Source organism: Homo sapiens, chromosome 10 (assembly GCF_000001405.40).
Source record: "Homo sapiens chromosome 10, GRCh38.p14 Primary Assembly".
NCBI classification, from domain to species: Eukaryota; Metazoa; Chordata; class Mammalia; order Primates; family Hominidae; genus Homo; species Homo sapiens.
Genome location: NC_000010.11, coordinates 82,937,337 through 82,964,858, shown reverse-complemented (window position 1 = coordinate 82,964,858; position 27,522 = coordinate 82,937,337). Strand labels below are relative to the sequence as shown.

General features: G+C 39.0%; 1 protein-coding gene across 26 annotated transcripts in view, besides 3 other annotated features; it reads right to left on the bottom strand.

The window, feature by feature from the left end:
* NRG3 (neuregulin 3) overlaps positions 1-27,522 on the bottom strand; it is a 1,111,986-nt gene that overhangs the window by 22,321 nt on the left and 1,062,143 nt on the right. For all 26 annotated transcript variants that reach the window (NR_163251.1, XR_001747009.3, NR_163252.1 and 23 more), the window contains 2 exons: positions 13,288-13,390; positions 5,784-5,910 (listed from right to left, as the gene is read on the bottom strand). Coding sequence is in view for 22 of the 26 variants with exons in the window: in XM_017015573.3 (XP_016871062.1) it covers positions 5,784-5,910; positions 13,288-13,390 (230 nt within the window). In the remaining 4 variants the exon portion in view is untranslated. The remainder of the gene's footprint in view (positions 1-5,783; positions 5,911-13,287; positions 13,391-27,522) is intronic.
* Positions 2,517-3,158: an enhancer, noted in NCBI's record as "OCT4-NANOG hESC enhancer chr10:84721457-84722098 (GRCh37/hg19 assembly coordinates)". NCBI's record gives its function as "activates a minimal SCP1, AML or CMV promoter by ChIP-STARR-seq in primed H9 embryonic stem cells {active_cell/tissue: H9 hESC(primed)}" and the evidence as "EXISTENCE:reporter gene assay evidence [ECO:0000049][PMID:30033119]".
* Positions 3,888-4,409: an enhancer, noted in NCBI's record as "NANOG hESC enhancer chr10:84720206-84720727 (GRCh37/hg19 assembly coordinates)". NCBI's record gives its function as "activates a minimal SCP1, AML or CMV promoter by ChIP-STARR-seq in naive H9 embryonic stem cells {active_cell/tissue: H9 hESC(naive)}" and the evidence as "EXISTENCE:reporter gene assay evidence [ECO:0000049][PMID:30033119]".
* Positions 8,018-9,217: an enhancer, noted in NCBI's record as "BRD4-independent group 4 enhancer chr10:84715398-84716597 (GRCh37/hg19 assembly coordinates)". NCBI's record gives its function as "activates an origin of replication core promoter dependent on BRD2, P300/CBP, MED14 and CDK7 cofactors, and independent of BRD4, by STARR-seq in HCT116 cells {active_cell/tissue: HCT116}" and the evidence as "EXISTENCE:reporter gene assay evidence [ECO:0000049][PMID:35650434]".

The following is a 27,522-nucleotide window of genomic DNA, read 5'->3' as shown; positions in this document are numbered from 1 at the left end:
CAGGAGTCAGAAGGTTAAATGAAAGTAGGGTCAGTTTTGGACAGCAATGTTGACAGTGCTGATAATCGCCTGGTCTGGAACCCTAGGCAATAAAAGCAGGAGGAGGATATTTTTAGGCAGTTTTAAATGTCTTTCTCTCTGCATTGCTTGGTTCAAATATGTCTGTGACAAAATTTTCTTTATTGCCACTCTGACTTATGAGCCCGAGTATGGGGAAATTGATAGTTACAATATGTTTTCAAGAGTGATTTCACTGGGATTTCTAATGTAGGTAATTAAAAACAACTCGACCGCTGTTGAGAATTTTTGCATGGACACCAAAGCAGCAAGAACTTTAAGAATTGCAATTTTCACACATTTCCTTTAAAGCAAAATAATATGAAAAGAGACCCTCTTCAGACACTAGGCACAGCACAAAACGCCACCTCCTCCCCAGCAAATTACCACTTCACCAGGGGGATTCTTCATGTGTTAACTGCACCTTTTTAGAGAGCTGAGCTATTCTTGGTCTGATATGAACTCCCCAGCCTGCCTACTATAAGCTCTGATAGCACCGTTCACTATTTCCTGTAGGCCTTGGCACAGATGAGAGCCCACATTTGTGAGATTATTTGATTTATATTGATCACTCGCAGTAATCAGCAAACTTCTTGAAAGAAGCAGCTTTCTCATTTTTTGTCATCATCACATGCCTGTTCCTTAATAGGTATTGTCTGGTACTTAGTAGGCTCTTTAGTCTATATTTAAGTAAATAAATGAATGTATGAATCTATATTCAATCAATAAGTTATAATTTGATATTTAAAGCAATAAATCAGCGTTTAGGCTAGAACTATTAAAAATTAACTTTAATTAATGCTACAACAAAATTACCTCTTCTGACCTACTCCCTGCAAACAATTCCATGATTTTCAATTCACTCTCAAAACTCTACCAAAAATAGCTCAGAGCAGTGTGAGCTATATGAGGTATGCAAAATTTATCAGGCCCAGAGAGACAGAGTGTGGGATTGTAGTCACTCACCCCCACCAAACCCAGGGGTGATTGTTTAAAGACATTTTGTTCCTAACTGCCTCATCACTTATTTTCAAGTTTTTGGAATTTGTAATAAAAAGAACCATGGATAAGCCAAGCAATAGCTTATACTATTTTAACGCAAATTCTTTTTTATTTTTTTTTGAGACGTTGTCTCGCTCTGTCACCCAGGCTGGAGTGCAGTGGAGCCATCTCGGCTCACTGCAAGCTCTGCCTCCTGGGTTCACGTAATTCTCCCGCCTCAGCCTCCCAAGTAGCTGGGACTACAGGCGTCAGCCACCGCGCCAGGCTAATATTTTGAACTTTTAGTAGAGACGGGGTTTCACCGTGTTAGCCAGGATTGTCTCGATCTCCTGACCTCGTGATCCACCCGCCTCGGCCTCCCAAAGTGCTGGGATTACAGGCGTGAGCCACCGCGCCCGGCCTAATGCAAATTCTTGATAAACAATTTGGGAACTGCCTCTTCATTTCCTATAAAAACCCACTTGTAACTGCTGCTGATGGGAGCATGTATTTAGGGTACATTAAGTCTATGCTCTCAGGTTGCAGTCCTCAAAACTGGCCAAAATAATTGCTCTATTTATATTAAGTTTGCCTAGGTTTTTTGTTTCCTTTGTTTGTTTTCCTTTAGGCCAACAACTCAATTCACATGTGACCTCCTTTAGGTAGGCTTGAGATTCCCCTAGTCAAATTCAGAAGTCGTTTTCCATTCTCTGATAGTACTTTGATTTAATGTATCTATATAATAAAGATATTATATGCTTGTACATTTTTCTCTCCACTAACCTTTGAACATCCTGAGATCAGGAACCACTTCTTCTGTTTGTATTCTAAGCTATCCCTGCAGTACCCAACACAGAGAAGTGTGGGCTTTACCAGAGTTCAATAAACATTACTGGATAAATATGTGCCTTTTCACCAATTTTTAAGGCTCTGTTAGGCACTAAATTCTTTTTTGGTTTTGTTTTTTTTGTTTGTTTGTTTTGAGGCTGAGTCTCACTCTGTCGCCCAGGCTGGAGTGCAGTGGCATGGTATCGGGTCACTGCAACCTCTGCCTCCCGGGTTCAAGCAATTCTCCCACCTCAACCTCCCGAGTAGCTGGAATTACAGGCACCCACCACCACGCCTGGCTAATTTCTGTATTTTCAGTAGAGATGGGGTTTCACCATGTTGGCCAGGGTGGTCTTGAACTCCCGACCTCAGGTGATCCACCTGCTTTGGCCTCCCAAAGTGCTGGGATTACAGGCGTGAGCCACTGCGCCTGGCCTAGGCATTAAATTCTTATTATTCCTCTTTAGCATGCAAGTATTATCTTCCAGTTCTTTCTCATTTAATGTTACCTCCCCCATAAACTTACCTTTCTTAAAATGATTACTGAAAAAAAAGGTATGAAGGGTATACAATTTTCTTCTTTCATTTTTCAATTGTGAATATTTTCTCTTGATTTTAAGAGAGAAGAACGGATGATCTCTTTTGATGACTTTCTTTTCTGATCCCTAAACCAGGCTGAGAAGTTTCACTCCTTTGCCTTGAAGGTTCTAGAGGTTATAATTCTATCCTTAGCTCTTTCTTACTTGAGACACAGCAAAGGAGGTGAGTTCATCTTTACTCACAGATGCTTTATTTGTTTTTAAAACAATGGTAGGGACTAGATGCTTCTCAGGGAGGGTAATCTACTCCAGTTCTGCAGCCTTGGAGTCAAGTGTTTCCAGAGTATCATGTTGCTTCACTTGACGAGGTGTTTTGCATCTTGTTAGATGACTATAAAGTGAAACCCATTTCCATGAATGTTTAATGAACTTAATAAAGGAATGCCAGAGCCAGACAATTCATTTGTTAAACACTGCAATTTGCAAAGAATTTCAAGTAGTTAACATGAGCTTCAAGATAAAACAAAGACAGATTTGCCTGATATGGTAAGCAAGTAGGAAATTTTCCTTTCCAAGGATGAAATATGCCTGAATAACCCGTCACCCTCTGTAAAGTGGAAATAAATGCCTGCGGTGGGAAGCTTGGTGATGGAACTTGGTGTTCAGAACTTCCCCATGGTCCCATTTGAAACTTGAGCATGGACTGTGAACTTCTTTACCACTTTTGACATTTTGGGAAGGATAATCTTCTGTTGAGGGAGGTTATTGTGCATTGAAGGATGTTCATCAGCGCCAATGACCGCTACCCACTAGATGCCTGTAGCATTCTTCTCCCAGCATGCAATAGCCAAAGTGTCTTCAGACTTTGCCAAATGTCAAGGGATGGTGGGCAAATTGCCTTCTGTTGAGAACCACTGAGTTATAAGGATGTTGGTTTGTCTTTCAGCTACTTACTAGCTGTCTGACAGACATACCTTTCTCAAGCTCCAAATCCCATTTCTATTTTCTGCACATTGTGGGTATAAATTAATTGTTAGAACTAAATGAGACAATGCATTTATATTAATTTGTTTCTTTAACAAAAACTGATAGAGATTTTTATGGGTATTGTGTTGAATTTAAACCACATTTTGGGTTATATCATCATTTAACAATATTAATTTTTCCAATCCATCAATATGGGTTGTATGTCTATTGATTTTAATCATTTTGATCAATGTTTGTAGATTTCAAGGTACAAACTTTTCACCTTATTACGTTTATACCTAAGCGTTTCTTACATTAAGTTCTCTAGCAAATGGAAGTGTTTTCTTAATTTTCTTTTAAAATTGTTTATTGTTAATGTATGGAAATTCAACTAACTTTTGGTGCTGATATTGTATTCTGCAAATCCACTGAATGTGTTTATTAATTCCAGCAGTATTTTGGTTGACTCTTGGGATTTTCTTTCACTTGCGTCTGTGTGAAGAGACCACCAAACAGGCTTTGTGTGAGCAACAAGGCTGTTTATTTCACCTGGGTGCAGGCGGTCTGAGTCCAAAAAGAGAGTTAGTGAAGGGAGATAGGGGTGGGGCCGTTTTATAAAGTTTGGGTAGGTAAAGGAAAATTACAGTCAAAGCAGGTTGTTCTCTGGTGGGCAGGGGTGGGGGTCACAAGGTGCTCAGTGGGGGAGCTTTTTGAGCCAGGATGAGCCAGGAGAAGGAATTTCACAAGGTAATGTCACCAGTTAAGGCAAGGACCGGCCATTTTCACTTCTTTTGTGGTAGAATGTCATCAGTTAAGGCAGGAACAGGCCATTTTCACTTCATTTGTGGTGGAATGTCATCAGAAAAGGCAGGAACCGGCCATCTGGATGTGCACGTGCAGGTCACAGGGGATATGATGGCTTAGCTTGGGCTCAGAAGCCTGACATTTTCTACACAGAAGATCATGTCATTTACAAACAAATATAATTTTACTTCTTTCTTTCTCAAAAAAAAAAAAAAAAAAATCCAGCCATTTCCGTACAAATAGAAGTTCAGTTCAACTATTCCACTAACATGTTACTGATTAGAATCTATCCTCATCACTTTAACTAGTGTCTGGCTTTGTTTATCTTTGACATAACCAGTTGCTAAGGAATGAAGCCCTCCATCACTGTGGTTGTTTTAGAGTGGTGGGATTATACCCATTAGAAATCAATAGCAAAACCATTCACTCTGTTTCTGAAATGAACAATTCCTGCACATTGCCATGAATAGAAGTTTAACAAAACTTGCCTGGGAAGAGACTCTGATTTATGAATTCTGCATTAAATCATCTGAGTACATCTGTTATGGACATCATAATAGCGACTTTTTGGGTAATGATTTCTTAGAATCACCAGTGATGTATAAATTTCCAGTGATTGAAGCATTTGGAGGGGTGTGAATGTGTCCTGGATGATTGCCTATTATACTCAAATGCTAGGTTTATGCAATGGCCTTTGTTCTTTTGTTTTATGCCTCAGATTCTGAAAGTGCGGATGCTGTGTGGGGTCAAAGAATTGCTAACCTAAGAGGAATATATCTGCATGTATTACACAGAATTCTCTTGCTTTAATTTAGTGTTTTGCAATATACCTCAGTAATGGTTAAAACTGCCTTACAAAAAGTGTAAGAGGCAAAGAGTTTGCATTTAACTTCAAGTTCTGATATCTCTGTAAGGCTTGGAATTAGAAGGATTGATTATGAAACTCCACCTTTCACCTTTGATTCTTCTCACACCCCTTAACTTGGAGTTCTCTGAACATAACATGCATTTTTAGGATTCCATGGCTTTATTCTTCCTGCATGTTCTGGCTTCTAGCTCTTAGCCCTTTGACTCTCTATAGAACTTTTCATATCCTTCCAAACCCAGTCCGAGTCCGACTCTGTTGTGAGGCAGCCCCCAAGTCTACCCCCATCCACCTCCCACTGGCTTCCTCTTGTCCAACCTCTGCTGCAACAACAACTATCTCGGAACTCACTTCTTCTGATTCTGGGGGTTTTTGTGTTTCTTCCTACATAGAACTTCCCTTATGGCAAGGGACATTGTATCCTTGGTGTCACATACAACTTCTGGCACAAACTAAGGATTCAACAAGTGTTCATGGGACAAAAAACTGAAGCTCTTATTTTTACTAGAGATTAGTTTATATTACAGATTGTAATCAAGAGCTGAAATTTAACTTGCCTTTTATCTGATGCATACATACATGCATGTGTGCATACGTCCCAGCCCAGAACTGTTAAAACGATTTAAGCAAAACCCTATAAAGCTCTGAAAAATATTTACAAGTCTGATCCCAGGCTCCCAACACCTCTGAGCTGGAAGCACTGAGGTAGGCTATAGGAGGAGGTGTGTAGACATGTCACTTACATTTTGCAGCTGGACATGGCTCTTCACCAAGTTCTCTGACTTTGCCATTGTGCTGGATGCTTTGAGACTGTAGCTTTTACCATTTTGTGGCACTTTCAGCTGCTCTTGGATTTGTTTAGCTTGTTTCCTGCAGGCATAAATAAACGTGTACAAATATTTGCATGACTTTATTCAACTCCTACTTTCAGGGTCTCATTCATTCCCAGTGTCTATATTTGTTATTTGCTAAAGTTAAATAAACTCAGCTAACGAAGAGAACCCTTCTCTCATTTCCAACCCCACCAGAAATACTTCCAGTTTAGTGATAACCTGATATCATCCATATTCTCTAGGAATTCACATTCAGTGGCACCCCAAAAGCAGACAAACATTTAGTGCATTGCCCTGGCCCCCATAGATGCAAGAAGTCTCTAACCCTGAGTTTTAGCTGCAAAGAACTGGAAATACTATGGGAAAGTGACTAGAGGAAAACAATTAAGACTTGGGCTTAGCAGGTACATATGACATATTTGTAGAGTTACATTTATATTTGTACAATTCAAATATGTTTAGCTTAATTGCACAACTTGACTATATACCATAATGTGTATATTCTCTGTCTTTTACAATTTAGAAATAGCTCATTTATTGTTACCAAGAGCCCAGATATTAAAAATAGTTAACTCTTAAAGAGCTAGTTATACAGTAATGTGCCACACATGGTTTTAAGTGCTTTATATGTATCATTTCACAGATTTTTCATGATAATTCTTTGTGATGAGGCCATAATGCTATACCCATTAAGTAGATGAGAACTAAAGCACAGAGAAGCTAAGCCATTTGTTTGACGTCACATAGTCAGTGAGTGGCAGCGATTGGATCTCAGCCCAGCCAACCTGCCTCCATAGTTTACACTCTTCAACCACCACTCAGAATTGCCAAGCCATGTGCTCATGGTCCCACCGCTTCTGAGTGAAAAGGCTGAAACTGCTGTAGGGTTCTGGACTTCAAGTAAAGTGCTCCTGTGTGCACATGCGGAATGACTGTTGTCTGGGTCACTCAGTGCCTACACCAGAAGGATGGGACAAACCACTGCCTTAGCAGCAGCTCTGTCCCAGAAGCTTCACAGAAATCATCTATTAGCATAGACTTGGTACCCATTAAACACAACACTCACACACACACACACACACACACACACACGCACACCTCTTTGCAGTGTTGACCTAAATAACAAACATGGAGACTCTAAAAGAAAATATTTATTTGGAAATAAGTGTTGCAATGGGAATACACACGATATAGGAAACTATGTTTTATCACTAGGAAGACAGGAAACGTTAGGTACACAACTGATTTGAGATCACTATCCTTGGCTACAAGGATCAATAGAAAGGATGGTGCCAGTCCAAGGGTGGACAGGAAGTTGCTGGGCATATGTCCTTGCAGAACTATTTTCGTGCATGTAAGGCTGCAATAGTCTTCATGCAAAGCTGCGGTTTTCACAGACTTTTGTGATAGTTCTTGTAATCAGGCATTTGCCTACGTGACTGCTCCCTTCATGTCCTTCTCCGGCTCTATTTGTCAGGGTTTTTAACACAAATGACTCCATTTTGATTCTGACAACTTTCCCAGTAGAATCATGCCCTTGAATTTTGCCTGTCTTCCAACGTCTCTGACAAAGATAGTGCCGTCAGTGGAGCACATGGCCGGTCTTAGCAATGAGCTTCTCCAGTCAGTAGCACCCTACAGAGCGTGGCTTATTGTATCACAGGGACTGGGATTTGAATCCCACTCTGCTACCCACTAGTTTTGCTACCCTAATAATTTCCTAAACTTGTTGAGCCTCCATTTCCTCCTCTGTAAATGAAGTTCATAAAAGCTATCTTCCACGGACACTGTGGTGGCTGCATGTGGAGGCACACGCAAAATGTTCATATCTTTCCCGATACCATCAAGCAAGCTCAGTCTTGTGAGCAGAAGCTGCAAAAGAATCAGAACATTGACCCAAAGGTAAAAGATTACACTAGTTGCATCTTCCCAAGCAATTCACCAGCACTTGCTGCAAGCTTTGGAGGCTTTGAGCTTCATTACCCATTTTGAATTTACAATATCAGTGTGATGTAGCTCTGTTTTTTAAGATATTTCTTTTATCTTTCCAATTATTTGGGAGACTTTTATCTCTAGCACTCTTAGTTGCTTTAATCCTGTTGTAATAATCTATTTGCTTCCTAACAGCTAATCTATAGCCTATTGTTAAAAATAAATCTATCATATCAGCATTTTAAGGAGCATGTTACAGCCACAAGATTTTATCAGGGGTTCATTCGCACACACAAAAAAGGGGAAATCAGGAGGTTCTAGTCTGGTAAATCATCCTGAAAAAGTAAGAGTGCATGTCTCAGAGCAAGGATTCCATTACTCTCATGGGATTAAATTAGAAACACTTAATGATGTTTGCAGTAATCCAATTCAGAGTCTTGGAAGTATAAACTTATAAGGGAATTTTCTTTAAGCAATATCCAATACCGGACTGCGTTTCCTAAATCCTTTTATAATTTGCTTACCTTTAGTCTTTTTTCACTCAAGTCCTGACTTAGTAATATTCCAAGATACGTGGTCCTTCCATTCTGAGCCTGCCTCTGCCTATCTACCATCCCTCCTCTCTCACAAGCACACACTTTTTTGCTCTTTCTTCCTTCACCCAGAAAATGGGAACAGAGAAAACAATCAGCAGCTGATTGCAATACCATTAGCTCTCTCATGAGAGGCATTGCTCTGGGGAAGAAAAGATGCATGCCTTGCACATGGGAATACTATTAGCCCAACAGTGTCAGTGTGGAAACTTTACAGTTCATTTGAGTTTTAAATTTCTCTGGTCCAATGCATTAGAAAGAAATGAGATGTAAGTTGCAGAATAGTAGACATCATTAATCCATTGTTAGGCATTATTTGTCTTGTTGCAGATTGGGCTCCTGGGAAGGCAGACCCTGGGATAAAGACAGCATAGAGGACTTTTGTTAAGGAGAGCTCTTGGTATCAACACCTGTGGAAGCAAAGGGAAGAAATGGAAGCAGAATTGGGCTGGGGAGAAGTTGGAATGTGATACAGTCTCAGTGAAAACCTCAGCAAACCTCAGAGGGAGCTCTGAAGCTGGCATGGTCTTGCACCTGAAGTTGGGGAAAAGGTCTAGGTCTTCAGAGCCTCATATCGATGCATCATTGGAGGTAAACAATACCAGAATGGAACATGAGATTGAGAAAGGTGACTCTTCACCGGTGTTTGCTGGCAAACTTGGCGACTAAATCCTCCATATCTGAAGAAGACGCAGCAGTGCATCAGAGTGTCTGCCATTAAGAGGCTTTTTTTGGGATCTAAAATCTCTTACTTCAAGGGGTTGATGACCTATAGTTAGGGGCAGGTTGTTACCGTGTCTACATTTTACTGATAATACCAGTTTTTATCCTCCTCTTTTTTCCCATTTGTGATAATTACCTGTTTCAGATTCTGCCTCCTGAAACATATCCTCTCCTACTTCAATTCTAGTTTTAGAGTTGAATCATATTTTGTATTTCCAAGCTCTGCTAAGAACTCTAACACTCATCCCCATCATTCTTAACTACATAAGTTAAAAATAAAGAGAAAAACTTGAATAATTTACAGTCATTGCGTGAGCCACACTGGCCAGACTTGACAGGCTCAATTAATAGTTCTATTAACTATGTATAGGAATATATGAGCTTATTGGGAGTGAAGAGAATTTCTTTCACTGTTTTTTAGAGTTGCTATGGGTTCAGTTAACTCCATCAAAAAATCCTCTAAATTCAAGGTGTTTCTTACTTATTCCTTATCATGTTACCTACCTTCCATCTTTCCTCAGACACAGAATTTGCTGTAATATTCCTTCTGATGAAGTCATGCCATGCCAAAGGTGACGAGGGAATGGAAAAAGAATCATAAAGGCAAGGTCTAAGTGATTATGGGAAGTAGAACATAAATGATCAAGAGAGCTTTGAGCTAAGTCTCAGCTCCCTCTGGGCAGAAACTATACATCCCAGTGTATCGAATGGAGGTTCAAGTGAACTTATTTGAATACCAGTGATAGAGAGGCCTTAGAATCCTGGAAGACTTGGGGCTTCTAAGCTAAAGTAAAAAATGTATATGCATATAAACTACTTTCCTTTATGAGTGAAAGTAAGGGAAGGTCAAGGTAGAGTTTGGATATTCTGTTCTCCCCAAGGTTTTGGAAAAGGAAATCCACGAATTCACACACACACACACACACACACACACACAACTTGTGCCAGGGTTTTATGACAATCTATATTGCTTTTAGCAATATAAATTAGGTGCTTGGTAAGGTGGTGGCATTTCTCTCAAGCAAAGAAAAAAAAGGGAGACCAAGCCTGAAAATGGTACTAGAAGAAGGAAATGCACCCTAGGCCTCTAATGAGGAACATATAGCTAATCCAATTTCAGGTGGAAAATACTTCCATTTGTATCATCATTTTATCATTTTTGCCTTTAGTTATTAATTGATTCATTTTTTAAATAAAACTGTGTCCCAGGCTGGTAGACAGAAAGATAACAATGTCCCGCTTGGTGCTCTAGCTTCTGTGCAGTCCTCTGAGCCTACCCTAATGAATCTGATGTTGAAGATTGTTTTCATTAAACACTTTGACTCCTCACTGAGTCCCAGGAGGAGATGTTGATCTCAGAGCCCTCTTGCTGTCCAGAGTGAGACATTGACAGCCCCAAAGATGGAAGTCCCCTGGTAATCCAGCTGTTTGCTTTCATAATTACCATGATCTGTCTTTCATTTAAATGTGGTACAACTACACATTATACTGTAAAAATAAGTGATTAACTGCTTCTTTATTGTAATTTGGTTATTGTTAAGTAAGGAATTTCTTTCTTGTACAAAGCTCTAGCAGGGAGACACTTCTAACTACCACCCTGCTGGGTGTGATTACCACTCTCGTGCTCCAGGGGAGGCTCTTAACTTTATAGCTACCCAGCCTCCAAGTTCTAGTGTGGAAAACCATGGGTGTTAACGACAGCAAGCCTCCATTGGGTATTTACTCTTTTAAACACTTTGCTATGCCCTTTACACTGTGATTGCATTGTTTTTTTTTTTTTGAGACTGAATCTCACTCTGTTGCCTAGGTTGGAGTGCAGTCGTGCGATCTTGGCTCACTGCAACCTCCACCTCCCAGGCTCAAGCCATTCTTGTGCCTCAGCCTCCCGAGTAGCTGAGATTACAGGTGCTCACCACCATGCCTGGCTCATTTTTGTATTTTTAGTAGAGATGGAATTTCACCATGTTGGCCAGGCTGGTCTCAAGTGATCTTCCTGCCTCAGCCTCCCAAAGTGCTGGGATTACAGGCATGAGTCACCGCGTCTGGCCATGATTGCATTTAATCCTTAACAAAATTCTATAAGGTAGATATTATACTTGTTCATATTTTACCACAAAGGGAACCAAGGCTAAGAGACACGATATAATTTGCCTAATCAAATATAACAAGTAAATGACAGCCTGAAGATTTGAATCCAAGTATGACTCACTAGTGTACAACCCTGACCATTATGCCAGATGGCATTCTTGGAGAACATAAAGTGCTATGGGCTGCACAAAAGAGAGTAACTCCTAACTCGCTCTGCGCAGCTCCACCATCTAGCAGAAGGACTATGTGAACCAGTATGGTATAGAGGTTTAGAGCATGTGATTTAAACTAGAACTCCTAAAATTAAAGAACCTATCTGTCATTTTCTTCTTTATGACTTTGAAAAATAAACATTTTAAAATAAATTCTGGTATTATTTGAAAAATGCAGTAATAATGCACAACTCTGATTTCTGTGGTGATTGGAAGCTAACACATAAGAAGCCCAGTGTGCCTGGCAAAGAGTAAGTGTTCAGAAATTGATAGTTACAACTGCCACAGCCAAGAGTTGCCTAGGAGATGTAACAGCTAATATCATATGGTAAGGATGGGGCCCTGGCATTAACAAAAGGGCCTTAGGTAAAATACTAAGGAAATCTGAAAATACAGACTTTAGTTAGTAATACTATATCAATATTGTTCCATTAATTGTGACAAATGTACCATGCTAATGTAAGGCATTAATAATGGAGGAACTTTGGTCTAAGGTATATAGAAACTGTCTGTTCTATTTTTGCAACAGTTCTAAATATCTAAAAAACATTCTGAAATAGTTTATTAGGAAGATAATAGTTACTAATTCTGAATTGATGCTCAAGTTTCTGTTATTTTAAAAAATCATAATCACAGTTTTCTTTGAGAATCAACACAGATAACATGCAGACAGGTATCACAAACTATACCTGGAAATTAATCCCATGTTAGAAGAGCAAATTGGTAAAAAATTATAGGTCCACTGAAAAGCAATTACACATTGGCTTGAATTTCAGACAAGCTGTAGGAACCAAATCTGTGCAAAATTCTTAAGACATGAGAAACCAAGGGGCTAATATTTTTATCTGCATTTCTTAAGTGCAGATTATATCATTTTAATAAATGAAATACGTCTACCAGAGTTCATTTGGAAAAATACACACACACACACACACACACACACACACACACACACACACACACACAGAGAGAGAGAGAGAGAGACGTTTATATCTACTTTTTTTTTTTTTTTGAGACAACTCTGTCCCCGAGGCTGCAGTGTAGCAGTGTGATCTGGGCTCACTGCAACTTCCACCTCCCAGGTTCAAGCAATTCTCCTGTCTCAGCCTCCCAAGTAGGTGGGACTACAGTGGCACGCCACCATGCCCAACTAATTTTTGTATTTTTCCTAGAGATGGGGTTTCACCATATTGGTCAGGCTGGTCTTGAACTCCTGACCTCAGGTGATCCACTTGCCTCGGCCCCTCAACGTGCTGGGATTACAGGCTGAGCCACTGCACCTGGCCTACATCTATTTCTAGTCAAACATAAACACCTTTATCTGAAGAAGGTCTAGTTTCTCAGCAAGGTAACTTTAGGGCATATTCAACATGTGCATACCAACTGGTAAACTGAAGTATATTTTTTAGTATTCATATTCCACATTTGCCTAAAATCTTTATGAAAAACTGAATTGTTTTTTCAGAAATAGATAGATAATGGTTGATAATGTGCAGGTTCATAGCAGTGGCCCCTTTGTTCAGAAGAGTTAGCCTTTAGTGACAGGCAGACACCAAGCCCTTAATACCAGCAAGTGGTGAATCAGTGCAAAGAACATAGAATGTTCGTGGTCACTGAGAGGAATGATCATTATGTGCATCGTAGATAAACCGCGCACACATGTGTGCACATACACATCACATACATGCATGTACATGCCTGTACACACTCACCACAATTTACAAAAATGTCCTAAGTCACTTGCAGATTGTTGCTAGACCCATTTCCACAGGTTCCCTCTGTGTGGCACACAGACTGAGAACTTAAAGTAACACAAAGCGCTTTCTCTAAAAGTAACCTTTAAACACTTGAGAGAAATAGTCTTACTTGCTTTTGAAGTAGAATGCTGCACAGAACATGCCCACGATGACAATTCCAAAGATGATACATGAAATTGACAGCACCTGCCTTTGATAAACTTCTTCACTCTCTGTGAATTTGAAAAACAAAATTAGAATGGATGCTAGCGGGGTGCATCAGCAACTATCTTCATCCATGTACTTCTGAGCTGGTAGGAGTCTTTCAAAGCCAACTTTTTGGTTTCTGTCATAAATAGGGAAAAAACAAGGAACTTATTATGATTCAATTACTTTGCAAAGTTCTACAGGATAACTGGTTGCTATTATTTGTATCTGCATGGCTACATCAGAACTCATACTCAGATATTGCGATTACAGATTTATCATCAAAAGACATTCTATGACTTTAGGATTTACTGGGGACATAAGCCTGTGAAATTGTGGTAAGGCCCAAATTAATCAGCTAGAGAAACAAACTCAGGTGCTTCTGAGCTTTCCTGTGGCAGTGATGCCTTCTAATTTACCTTCTGTGGTGCTGATGCCCCTGTGTTTTCTGATTCTGATTTAGTCCTTGGCTGTCAGCCTCCCATTCTTCCTACTATCACTATGATTGACATCACTCATGAAGAAAAAATCAATAGGCACGTAAGTATTTTATTCACCCAGTCTCTGTCCTTCTCAATACCAATGATTTGGCACAGTAGAACTCAGCCTCTATTACCAAGGTCATACCTTGTAGCTTATCACGAAAATGACAATAATTCAAAAACAAACATTTCACTCTGTAGCCACTACCATTTATACTCCTAGGTCCTTTCTTAACCTGTATCTACCTAAACAATTCTTCCATCTCATCAAGACTTTGTATCCGTAGAACCCAGCAGTTTCTCTGTTAATTATCCTCGTCTTGTCTTCATCTTTCTGTTTATATAGGACAGTGACCATGGTCCATGACTACAGTCATTTACTCTCTTGCAAATACTCTATTTACTTTATCCCTTTTGTCTTCCCTTCTACCTATTTGGCAAAATAAATGGACACAAATCCAAGAAACTGCCTTCTCCATACCTCTACTGTGGGCAGCTCAGAATGGGGGAAGAAAACTGTACCACTGGGCAAATGGACACCAATAAAGAACAGCAATCACAGAGCTTAAGTAGTCATCTAATGGTCACTAACAATGTCATCAGCCTGCCTTCCTGTTTCCCTAATGATCAGCCATATCGTCTCCACACTACTCACACACCTGACACAACTTTCCCTCTCTCACTCTCAGACCTTCTATACAGGTCATAAGAAACAAGCAGCCAATTTAGAGGAAATTTCCCACTATTTAACACATATATATTCTAAAAATATACAAAATTAATTGCATCTATATACATTCTCTCTCTGTGTCATTAACATAGAACAATAGTTCTCAAATTGTAATGCACTGGAGTCACCTTGGAGCCTAATAAAAAACAGACTGCACCTACTTCTTTCCCCAGAGTTACTGATTTAGTAGATCTGGAGTGAGTACAGAATGTCGGCATTTTTAAAAAGTTCCCAGGTGATTCTGATGCTACTGGTCTGAGAAACACACTTTGAGAACTTTTGAGCAGACTAAGAGTTCTCAAAACATGAATCATCTACATAAAAAATCACCTGAGGAGATATGTTTTTCTTTGTTAATACTAGTTATGGTTTCCTTCTTTCTAAATCAGGATCTTTTTGGTTTTTTTTTTGGTTTTGTTTTTGTTTTTGATATAGAGTCTTGCTCTGTCACCCAGGCTGGAGTGCAGTGGCGTGATCCCAGCTTACTGCAACCTCTTCCTCCTGGGTTCACGTGATCCTCCTGCTTCAGCCTCCCAAGTAGCTAGGACTATAGGCACCTGCCACCATGCTTAGCTACTTTTTGTACTTTTAGTAGAGATGAGGTTTCACTGTGTTGGCCAGACTGGTCTCGAACTCCTGACCTCAGCTGATCTGCCTGCCTCGGCCTCCCAAAGTGCTGGGATTACAGGTGTGAGCCACCACACCCAGCCAGGATCTCTATTTAAGTAAAATTTTCAGGTATTTCTCATGCATACTAAAATTAGAACATTATTCAATTATAGCAAGCACTATTTTTTAAATAAAATAATAATTCCTTTGGTGTTCATTGTTTCCTATCATCTCGGGGGCTTCTCATCACTGAAAATTAAAGAAAAACAATCGATTCAAATTCATTTTATGATGCCAGTATTATCATGATTCCGAAAAAGACGAAGACCTAACCAAAAATTACAGATAAATAGCCCTCATTGCCACAGATGCAAAAATCTTAATAAATTTTAGGAAATAAAATACAACAATATATAAAAAGTATAGTGCATCATGACTAAGTAAGGTTTATACACAAAAATGCAAGGTTGGTTTAATATTTTAAAATTAATCAATGTGATTCACCATTTTTACATCTAAGCAGATAATTTAACAACTAGATCAGAGGCAAAAACATAGCCAAACTTAATATTCATTCTTGATTAAAACTCTCAAAACCTAGAAATAGAAGGCACTTCCTCAACCTAATAAAGAGTAGCTATAAAAAATCTATATCTAGCTGTGAAAGAATGTTTTTTTCCCTAAGATCAGGAATAAAGCAAGAATATCCACTCTCATACCTTCTGGTCAACACTGTACCAGAGGTTTAGTTAATGTAACAAGAAAAAATAGGAATAAAAATCATTCAGCTGGGGAAAGTAGAAGAAAAGTTGTCTTTGTTTGCAAACAACATGACAATTTATACAGAAAAGCTGATGGAATCTACAGAAGACCTAGTATAATTATCAAGTAAGCTTAGGAAAATTTCAGGATACAAGGTTATAGGAGAGAGATACAAAAATAAATGTACATCATTTTACAGCAACAAAGAAAAATTGAAACAAAAATGTCATTTACAATAGCATCAAAGCATGTAAAATACATAGAGATCAATTTAACAAAAGGCACACAAGTCTTGTACATTGAAAAGCTTAAAAGAAGATCTAAATAAATAGATATAACATGTTTATGGATTAGAAGGCTTGATATTATTAAGATGTCAATTCTCCCCAAGATGATAGACAGATTGATTGCAATGCTATTAAAATCTCAGGAAGCATTTTTGTTTTTGTTGTTCTTGTCACAGAAGTTGACAAGCCAATTCTAAATGTTTTATGGAAATACAAAAGATCTACAGTAGCCAAAACAACGTTCCTGTAGCCAAGAGAACAAAGTTGTGGAATCTCATGACTTTATTTCAAGATTTCTTATAAAGCTGTAGTAATCAAGGCATATGGTATTGGCCTAATTATAGACAAATAAATAATTGCAACAGATAAAAGCGTTCTGAAATATAATATTCGAAACTTATGTGGCCAATTGGTTTTGACAAAGATGCCAACATAATTCAATGGTGAAAGAATATTTTCAAAAAATGACATTGCATCAATAGTATATATAGCCATATCCACAAAAATGAACCTGGATCCTAATCTCATACTCTATACATATATACACTCAAAAAGGATGATAGATGTAAATGTAAAGTTTAAACTACAAAATTAGAAGAAAACATAGGAAAAAATCTTAGTGCCATGGATTTGGCAAAGATTTCTTAACTAAAATATAAAAGCTACAAACTAGAAAATATTTCAAAATCAATAAAATGGACTTTATCTATCAACATTAACATTTGCTCTTCAAAGACACCATTATGAAAATCAAAAGGCAAGATACAGTCTGAAAAAATTGCAAAATATGTATTCAACAATGGACTTGTATCTTTAATTTATAAGAATGACTTCTCAATAATAAGATAAGCAAACCAATTTAAATGTGAGCAAAACATAGTTGAATAGACACTTCCCCAAAGATATCTGGATGACAAATAAGTACCTAAAAAGATACCCAACATTGTTCATTATTATTAAATTGCAAATTAAATTATAATGAGATATATGGCACCCCCGCTAGAATAGGTGAGATTAAAGACTTACCATACCAAATGTGAAAAGGATGTGAACAACTAGAACTCTCATGTACTTCTGATGGAAAGGTAAAATTATATAGCCATTTCCAATAGTAGCTTCACAGAAAATTAAAAATATACCTACTTTATGATCTCGCCATTCCATTACCAACAACTATTGAAAGTTCAATTTCACTGGGTACCCAATGTTCATAGAAACTTTATTTTTAATAGCCCCCCAAACTGGAAATAACCCAAGGATCCATCAACAGGTAAATGGATAATCAAATTATTACATTTCTATATAATGAAATAGTACTCAGCAGTAAAAAGAAATGAACTATTGATAGAAACTACAATATGGAAGAATATCAGAATAAATATGCTGAGTGCAATAAATCAGACAGCAAACAGGGTACATGTTGTATAATTCCACTTATTCAAAATTCTAGACAATGGAAACTATAATAACATAAAACATGTATGTAGATACCTGGGGACAGGAGTAGGGACTGATAGGAGAGATTACAAATTGATGTGGGGAAACTTTTGGGAGTTACAGACATGTTAATCGTCTCAATTACAGTGGTGGTTTCACTGGTGAATACTTATGTCAAAAATGTATCTAGTGATACATTATAAACAGGTGGCTTATCTTATGTCAACTATAGCTGCAAAAATATTAATCCTAGGGTACAAAAGAATACAAAGAATATGCAAAGAATATGTCGAATATGCAGAATATAAAATAATACATAGCTTTTTATCTTTTAGTCTTCTTTTATGATTATACTCCCATAAACCATTCTCCATGTAGCAGGCAATATAAACCTTTTAATATATAAATTAAATCATATATATGCATGTATATGAATGAATATGTGTGTATATTCTATTTTTACTGTGTTATTAGGTTCCTATTTGACTTATAATACCTAAAATTCTTAGTATGGTCTGAAAGACCTGCCTGATATGACACTGCTCACCCATATCAACCACTCTCCTTTTTTTCTGTTATGTCTACCATTTCAGTCCTTAGAGTCTTGAAACATGCTGTTTGCTTTATTCTTCTGCTGGCTTTTTTTTTTTGAGGCAGAGTCCTGCTCTGTCACCAGCCTGGAGTGCAGTGGTATGGTCTCAGCTCACTGCAACATCCCTGTCTTGGGTTCAAGCGATTTTCCTGCCTCAGCCTCCCGAGCAGCTGGGACTACAGGTGCGTGCCACCATGCCCAGCTAATTTTTGTGTTTTTAGTAGAGACCGGGTTTCACAATCTTGGCCAGGCTAGTCTCGATCTCTTGACCTTGTGATCCACCCACCTTGGCCTTCCAAAGTGCTGGGATTACAGGCGCGAGCCAATGCTCCACGCCTTCTGCTTGTCTTTTAAAGGACCACTCCACTTTTTTTTTTTTTTTTTAAATCTCAAATTAAATGTCACTAGTTCAAAGAGCCTTGCACTATCAAAAAGCCTTGCACAGTAAGCTCCACTGATTCAGGGGACCATATTCTTCATTAATTTACTCATTTGGCTCATCATTATCTCCTCAGCACCTAGTGCAGCAATTCCCACATCATTGACACTTCAGACTTGTTACTTGAATTAACAAATGCATATTTCTGTCTTTACAGAATTGTTCATGTTACATCAATTCTCACCCCAGAGTGTTCTTAAGGCTTAGAATCTGTCCATGTTGATATCAGGTACTCCTAGGCTTAAACACATCCTCCTTTCGTGAGTTGACCATCTGCTTCTGACCCCACCCACATCCAAACTCTGTACCCAGCTTCTCCATTTGGAGCTGCTATGGTTTCAATATGTTCCTCAAAGTTCCTGTGTTGGAAATTGAATAGTCATTGTAACAGTACTAAGAAGTGGGGCCTTTATGAGGTGATTAGGCAATGAAGGCTCCACTCATGAAGGGATTAATACTGTTATCATGAGAGTAAACTAGTTATCACAGGAGGGGGTTAGTTATCACAGGAGGGGGTTAGTTATCACAAGAGTGGGCTTCTGATAAGAGGATGAATTCAGCTCAATTTCCTCTCTCTGTCTCCTGAGCTCACTTGCCTTCCCCCTTCTGCCATAGAACTGCCCTCACCAGATGCTGGCGCTATGCTTTTGGACTTCCCAGCCTCCAGAAACATGAACCAAATAAATTTCTTTTTTCAAAATAAAGTACCCATTTTGTGGTATTCAGTTATAGGCTAAAACAGGGGACTTTTCATCCAACCTTGGTCTCCTCACTGTGATTCTGCACTCACAAAGTCCTTTTCACAGCACAAAGAACCATAAGGAAAATGGTGAAAGCACTTGTACCCTGGCCTCAGAGGATGAGCAGCATGATCAACTGATATGTAGGTATTCTGATTGTTTATCTCTGTGTTGGATTTGTGTGCTGTTCCAACCAACATACTCTAATGCTGACACTGGTATGCTGCCTGGTTTTATATTCTAGACTAGCTTCATTTGGTGCTGATGGCAATTCAAAGACAGAAAAGCAAGCTGAGGGGTGGCTCAGGTACACAAAATTCTTCATACCGTGACTTTCTGGGGTGCTCCCAAAATGCTGCAGAAGCTTCCAGGGTCAGCTGAAATTAGTCCATGGGGACTTGTGGTGTTTCTCTACCAGTAAAGGTACTTGCAGTACTTTATCATTAATAAGCAAATGGAAGCCTGATGAAACAAATCTGGATCAAAACCTACATGTAGAGAGCCCACATTCTAGGACCTATTTTCCTTTATTTCTTCTATTTTCTGAGACCATGCACTATATCCTCTCTTAAGATATGACCTCATGTTTTCTAATACTTTTTCCTGTGGAATTATGTTGGGAACAAATGTTTTCGAACATTTTCTCTCTTCTTAGGGTTTATTTTTGTTTTTAATGCATTTATTTGGGCTGGCATAATAGAAAACAGAAAGTAAACCTAAAAAATATCACATTGTCTACATTTCTTAGTAAGTCGAGAGGGGCAATCATGTGCCCCAGCAGGCTTGGGTTGACATTTTAAAGTTGGAAAGATTCAAATTGAAGGGATAAAACATGTATTATTAAGACCTGTTTAGGCATATCATCATCTTAAAAAATGTCATCCTTTCCACCCCCACATTTGCAAGTTCATTAAATTTTCCAGTTGAACTTGGAAACAAATAAATATTTGTGCCAACTCTTAAGAATTCCATTTTACTTAATTGTCAGTTCATGACTGAAATGGAATAAGCATGACTTGCGTATAATAATCTGTCTACCCTGCTTCTGCAAATAAAAAGAATTATAAAAATTATGGAGAATAATGCCCACTAAAACAAACAAAAACATAAGACTGCACTCACAAAAATGAATTATTTCCACATAACATTTATGCAGTATGTTTTTTGTTTTGTTTTGTTTTTTACTTGAAGCTAGTCAAATGTAGCCTGGGGACATGCAAAAATAAAAAAAGGTTCTGAGTTTAAATCAAGAGTGAAATTAAAACTACAAAGACTACAAGTGAATTTATAGACCCAGGTGTAGCTACAATGATGGTATATTATCAGTGCATTTGATTCATAGGGTATTATGCGAGAACCAGCATAAATCAAGGGGCTGAGAGTCTGGTAATTTTGGATTTGACTTTAATTTTGGTCACTTTTAAAATGAGTGACTGCAAGTATGCTACTTTACCTTTATAAACTTCAATTTCCTCCCTACATAAAGGCAATATCAAGTATGTTTATAATGAGAATGATATCAAGTAAGGTTTCTTAAGCATATAGCACATAGTAATTCGATAAATTCTGGTTTTTCATCTTTCTATATTTTAAAATTTTTCCCCCCTGTGTGATGGCTAATTTTAGGTGTCAACTTGACTGGAACATGGAATACCTAGAAACCTAATAAAGCATTATTTTGGGGTATGTCTGTGTAGATGTTTTCAGAGGACATTAGCATGTTCATCTAAGTGGACTAGATGGGGAAAATCTGACTTCAATATGGGCAGGCACCATCCCATCTTCTGGGATCCTGAAGAGAACAAAATGAGAGAAAATGCAAATATGTTGATCTATTTGTTGAACTGAGATATACTCCTCCTTTCCTGTTCTTGGACAAAAATTCCAGGTTCCCTGGCCTTTGGACCCTATAACTTAAATCAATGACCTTGGGTTCTCAAGCCTTTGGCCTCAGACTGAGAATCACATCATTGGCTTCCCTGGTTCTGAGGCCTTTGAACTTGGATTGAGCCATGCCACCAAGGGTGGCCTGGCTAAGATCACCCCTTACCCTGAGCCAACTCCACTCAAGGAGCAGTGTGGTCCGTGGTTATGCATGCCTGACTTTTACCATCAGCTGCAACTGTTCTTATCCTCTTATTCATTGTCCTTACCAATAAAATAGAAAAACATTGCATACCTGCATGTTTAGGGATTAAACACATAAGCACGAACAAAGTGCCTAGAATAATACATGGCATATAAATGATGCACAAAACGCCAGTTTCTTTCCTTTTTCCGTTTTCTCTTGAAGCAGCATTAAGTCAAAAAGAACCTTTAAAATATTCTACTCCCATATGCAAAACTAGCCTTAGCCACAGGCAGTCAGTGACTTGCTAACTCTGGAGAAGTCTGTGTCCAGAAACTGGTATTTAAGGAATTTATTTTTATGTCTTTTTTTTTTAACTCATTTTTTTTAACTTGTACTTTCACTCTTGGTAACTATATTTCTCAATTGTGGTTTTGAATTTCCTGCCCAGAAATTTTGAGGGATGTAATACAAGCAGACCTCTTTGGGGAATGGGCTCTGTCTTTCACACTCTCCCTCACAGATAAACAAATAGGAAGTGTGTAGTATTTCTTCCATTTTCTTGGTAAAGACAATGGATAAGAGGATAAGAGCAGTTACAGCTGGTGGTGAAACAGACGCATGCAACAACCATGCATTCTGCTCCTGGAGTGAGATGAGTCCTGGAGTGAGATGAGTCCAGGGCAAGGGCAAGGGCAAGGCTCAGGCCAGGCTGCCTGCCAAAAAGATTCTCTCCACTGTTCTAATGCTGGGTTCTGAAATTTCACCATAATGTTACTTTCTCTAGTTTCATACTCTCCCTCACTTCTCCCTTTAAGAAAAATAAATTGTGCTCTTTGTCCTTGGAGACACAGAATCCTTGGAACACTTATTGGCTAGCATGATATCTACTTAACTGGGCAGCCATAGTTCAGATCCAGATGTGTAACACAGCCTTATGGTAATTCTTTTGGAAACTGCAACAGTATAAAATTCTCAAAGTCTCTCCATAGAAACTTGTTAAGCTGTACTACGTAGAAAAAAGAATGCTACCGAAAGAAAATCACAGTCATAGTTCTTGTTACACTATTTCCCCAGAGAGATCTCTGTATGGAGGACAGAGGTGTGGGAGACCATGATACAGCATGATCTCCTACATGTGTGAGGGAACAGGAACTGTTCTAAATGGCACCTCCATATCCCCTCCAGGTATAGGGACCTAGGATTCTAGTGCTTCTTGAGAACATTTCCTTTGTACCACCATTTTTAGGGTGGCCTAAAAGACACTGAGCTCAACTATGATGTCCATAAATGTGCTGATCTTCAAGTAGTGTGAGGTTGAAGCACACACACACACACACACACACACACACAAACCTATATGTCATATAAGTAAGCAAAAGTTTCACCTGGAAACCCGCATACTCAAGATATGCAAATCAGATCCTATGTGTTGCCACTAGGTATCAAAATGAAGCATGATTACTCTTATAGTCATTCTAAAAATCAACCAACTATACCTCAGAGGCTCCTTTCTATCCAAGTATTCATTATCTGAGGCCCTGAAGTTAAGAGTCTACATAGAGAAGCAAAAGTCATCATAATACAACAATATTCAATAACGAACCCACTATTTATGAAATGAGTCTTCACTCCAGCATTTCTCCCTGCCTAATTCTAGTATTTATTTCTATCCATCAAACCAACCTCATCATCTGTGTAGGTCAGTCTCTCCCTAATGGTTGCACTCTGACTTTTTTGTCCTCATTTTAACTGGATTAAGTTTAAGTGCATTTAATCCAGCATTAATTATTGTTAGATAAAGCAGGTCTCCTGAATTTTATTTTTAAAAATCAACAAATGCTTGGGATAGATTAAAATATTAGGAGCTTATAAGCAGTTGCAAATGAACCTTGATCAGAAAAGAGAATGAAAAGGAGAATATTTAGAATGTTTAGAAATCAGGATATGCTTTTTTTAACTTGCAGATAAAAATGAACAAAGAGTTCAATGGCCTTATAAATGCCTTAAACAAGTATTTCATTTAGTTAAAAGAGAGCCTGAAGGCAAATAAAAGGAATCCTTACCATGAGATCAATGAGATCAAACATACACTGGCAGGGTGGGGCAGTTACAGAGGGTGGCACCCTGGCAGGGTGGGCATATAATAAGAATATCAGGAAGACAGAACCAGCTCCCTGAGCCTTGCTACAAGCAACCCTGAGAAAGCTGCCTGGGGGTGGGGGGCCTCCAGTCCCACCATCCAAGTGCAGAGAAGCTGAGATGACCAGGAGGTACTAAAAGGCTCCATGTCTTTTACACTGTGTTATTCAGGCTAGAAGCACCTTCCCTTTTTCTACTTGAAACTCCCACTGTTATGGATTGAATTTTGTCTTCCAAAAGATGTTGAAGTAATGACTCCAGTAGCTATATGCATATGACCTTATTTGAGTATAGCGTCTGCTATGGTCTGAATATTGGTGTGCCCCCAAAATGCATATGTTAGTACCTAATGCCCTATGGAATCATATTAAGAGGTGGGGCTTTTGGGAAGTGGGTAAGTCATGAGGGCTCCACCCTCACAGATAGGATTACTGCTCTTATAAAATAAACTCAAGGAAGCTCCCTGCCCCTTCTACCATGTGAGGGTACAACAAGAAGGCATCATTTATGAAGCAGAGACTGAGCTTTCACCAAACACCCAATTTACTGGCATCTTGACCCTGGTCTTCCCAGCCTCCAGAACTGACAAATAAATGCCTGTTGTTTATAAGCTATGCAGTGTAGGGTACTTTGTTATGCAGCCCAGATGGACTAAGAAAGGGTCTTTGAAGAGGATCAAGTTAAGATGAGGTCATGAAAATGGATCCTAATCCAATATTACTGTGTCCTTAGTAAAAGGAGAAATTTGGACACAGAGATAGACACATACACACATAGGGAGAACATCATCTAAAGATGAAGTCAGAGATTAGGGCAATGATTCTACAAGCTTAGGAACATCAAAGAGTGACAGCCAATTACCAGAAGCTAAGAAAGAGGCAAGAAAGAGTTACCCCTTCACAGCCCTCAGAAGAAACCAAGTCTGCTAATACCTCGATAAGAACTGGAAAACAAAAGAATTGTGTGAGCCACCAGTTTGTGGTGCTTTGTTACAGCAGCCCTAGCAAGTTAATCTGCCCACCGATCCCTAAAAGCTCAGAATAAATACTATTAAGCCTGAAAATTCTTCCCAAGCTTCCCTTCTGCATTCCTTTTGCACCTTTTCCATAACTGCATGGTCTTGTACCAAAAATGCACATACCCATTTCTCAAAAGCCCCTCAAGGACAAGGATATGATCTTTATTTCTGGATAGTTGTATGTGGCTAATGCTGGCTGTGCACTAGGGCCTCACTACAAAAGCCTCTGGTGAACTCAATAGCTTCTGAGCTGGATGTCTAAGGACATTTACCAGTGGTCTTCTGCTTGGTGGGGCAATAAAAAGAGGCAGCAATTTCTTGAGGTGGGGGAGGAGGTAGAAAGTTACATTTACCCTAGGGATTCATTTTCTTGCTCTTTGCAGTCAACTGCATAATACTACACTTAAAAAAACATTGAAAGGTGGGGCGCCGTGGCTCACACCCGTAATCTCAGCACTTCGGGAGGCCGAGGCGGGTGGATCACGAGGTCAGGAGATGGAGACCATCCTGGCTAACACGATGAAACCCCATCTCTACTAAAAATACGAAAAATTAGCAGGGCGTGGTGGTGGGCGCCTGTAGTCCCAGCTACTCGGAAGGCTGAGGCAGGAGAAAGGCGTGAACCCGGGAGGCGGAGCTTGCAGTGAGCAGATTGCACCACTGCACTCCAGCCTGGGTGACAGAGGGAGGCTCCGTCTCAAACAACAACAACAACAACAAAAAACCAATAACAACAACAACAAACAACAACAACAACAAAGGAAAAACTGAAATAATTACTTTATAATAATGTTGATACTCTATAGTTTATCTTATTTCTACGCAAAATGCTTTTAGATGTGCATTATCAGTTAAAGTTGATATTTAAGGGTAAATAACAGTTTAAATTCATAAACATCTGTATTCTCAGCCTGTCATTTTCCTTTCTTCCCCTGCACCCCCACCAAATATAAACCTTTCCTGTAATAACCGCTTATCTCCTCCCCTCCTTTCACAAACAGTGCATCTCTGGCTGACTATAGATAAGTGAATGTTATAAGACATATTTTGAAAAGAAAATGAAAAGCCCTGGGTCTTCTCATTAATATGTCTAATATGCACTGGCTTTCCAAGTGCTATTTCTTCCACAAATAAATTATAAGTAAAAAGCAACCTGCATCAAGTTATATCTACCAGTGAGTTTTCAATGCTAAGATAATCCCAGTCTGTGGTGTCCGAGTTCACTTTTAAAAGATCTGTTAACTCCATTTTTCCTGAACCTATAATAGCTGTCCCCCACTCCTTACCCTCAATTCTAGGTTTTATCACTTAGGATTCACTGTTCATTGGCAAAGTCACATTCTAGGAGCAAGACATGTGACTTGGAACAATAACATTTCATTTTCTTGACAACAGGGAGAATCTGACCCAGCGGTTTAAGGGAATCTTCTAGCTGTGACCTATTTAGATGGAGTAGGGATTCTAACCCACTAAAGACCGTTTAACTTTGCTTCACAGAACATTCAGGACCAAGGTAACACACAACCTTCTCCATATTGGTGTAATGGGGCTTCACTTCTCTCAGACAGATGAGGTGTAAGCTAAAGGAATCTAACTCCTTTACCACAGGTATTGGCAGTGATCCTGGAAGATCTACAAACATAATCAGCAAAGTCAGCTCTTTGCATAGGTGCGCAGGCTGAGAGCCCTGTGGCTATTTGACTTCCCAGGCTTAAGTTGTAACTATCCCATCAGGAGCTGTCTCGAGTCAGGTGGATATCAGACTGCATAGAGCAGGCATATGGACTCCAGGCAGGGGTTCTCTCCTCTGGCTATACATTAGAAACACCTCGGGAGCTTCTCAAATACACCAACAACTGAACCCCAGCCCAGAGCAGATCTGAATTTCCAGCACTAGGAAGCTAGATCTGTGTACGTTCAAATCTACCTAAAGCGCTGAAGTTGAAAACCTCAGGTCTAGAAGTAGAGCATCCAGTCTGGACCAGCATGATCCAACAGAAATATAATGCAAGCCACATGTATAATTTCAGCTTCCAAAGCTTTCTAGTAGGCACCGTAGAAGCAATCCAATCAATCAATCAGTCAATCAAGGGAGAAATTCGCTTTAATTATACATTTTATTTGACCCAACATATATAAAATAGTATCACTTCAATACAGAATAGCTATAAAATATTAATGAAATATTTTATATTGTTTTGGCGCTAAGTCTTTGAAATCCAGTGGGGCTTTTTATATGAGACTTACCGTATATGAGACTTACAGCTCATTTCAGGCTAGCCATGTTTCAAGTGTTCAACTGTGCTGATTTTACCCTAAAACTGCCTCCTTACAGATTCTAAGTTTGGTCTAATGGTTTCTCTGTACATAGTGAATTTTAACCTAACAATATGCCCAAATAGACTGTAACCTACTCCTGTACCAATCACTGAGTTTCAGCTAATCACAGTCAGTCAACTGTTCAAACTGTGTTCAAATGAATGCCGAGTTACTATAACCAGCTGTTTCTGTACCTCACTTCTGTTTTCTGTAGGCCACTTTCCCTTCTCCCATAAATTCCCTGCTTCCGTAAATTCTCTTACACCTTCCGGCAGTGCCAAAGTCACTCTGAATGTAATTTGGTGCAGAGGGCTACCCCTTCACAAATTGCTCTATTAAAGTCTGTTAAATTTAACTTTTCTCCAGTTTTTCTTTTAATGACCATCACATGTTTGTGGCTACCACGTTGAATAGTGCAGACTGATAGTCGGAAAGCACAGATCTGTTCCCAGGGTCTCGCTCTATTTACCTGACTTTCGGCAATTTTATTTAACCTGTCTATGACTCAGTTTTTGATGTGAAATGTGGTGATG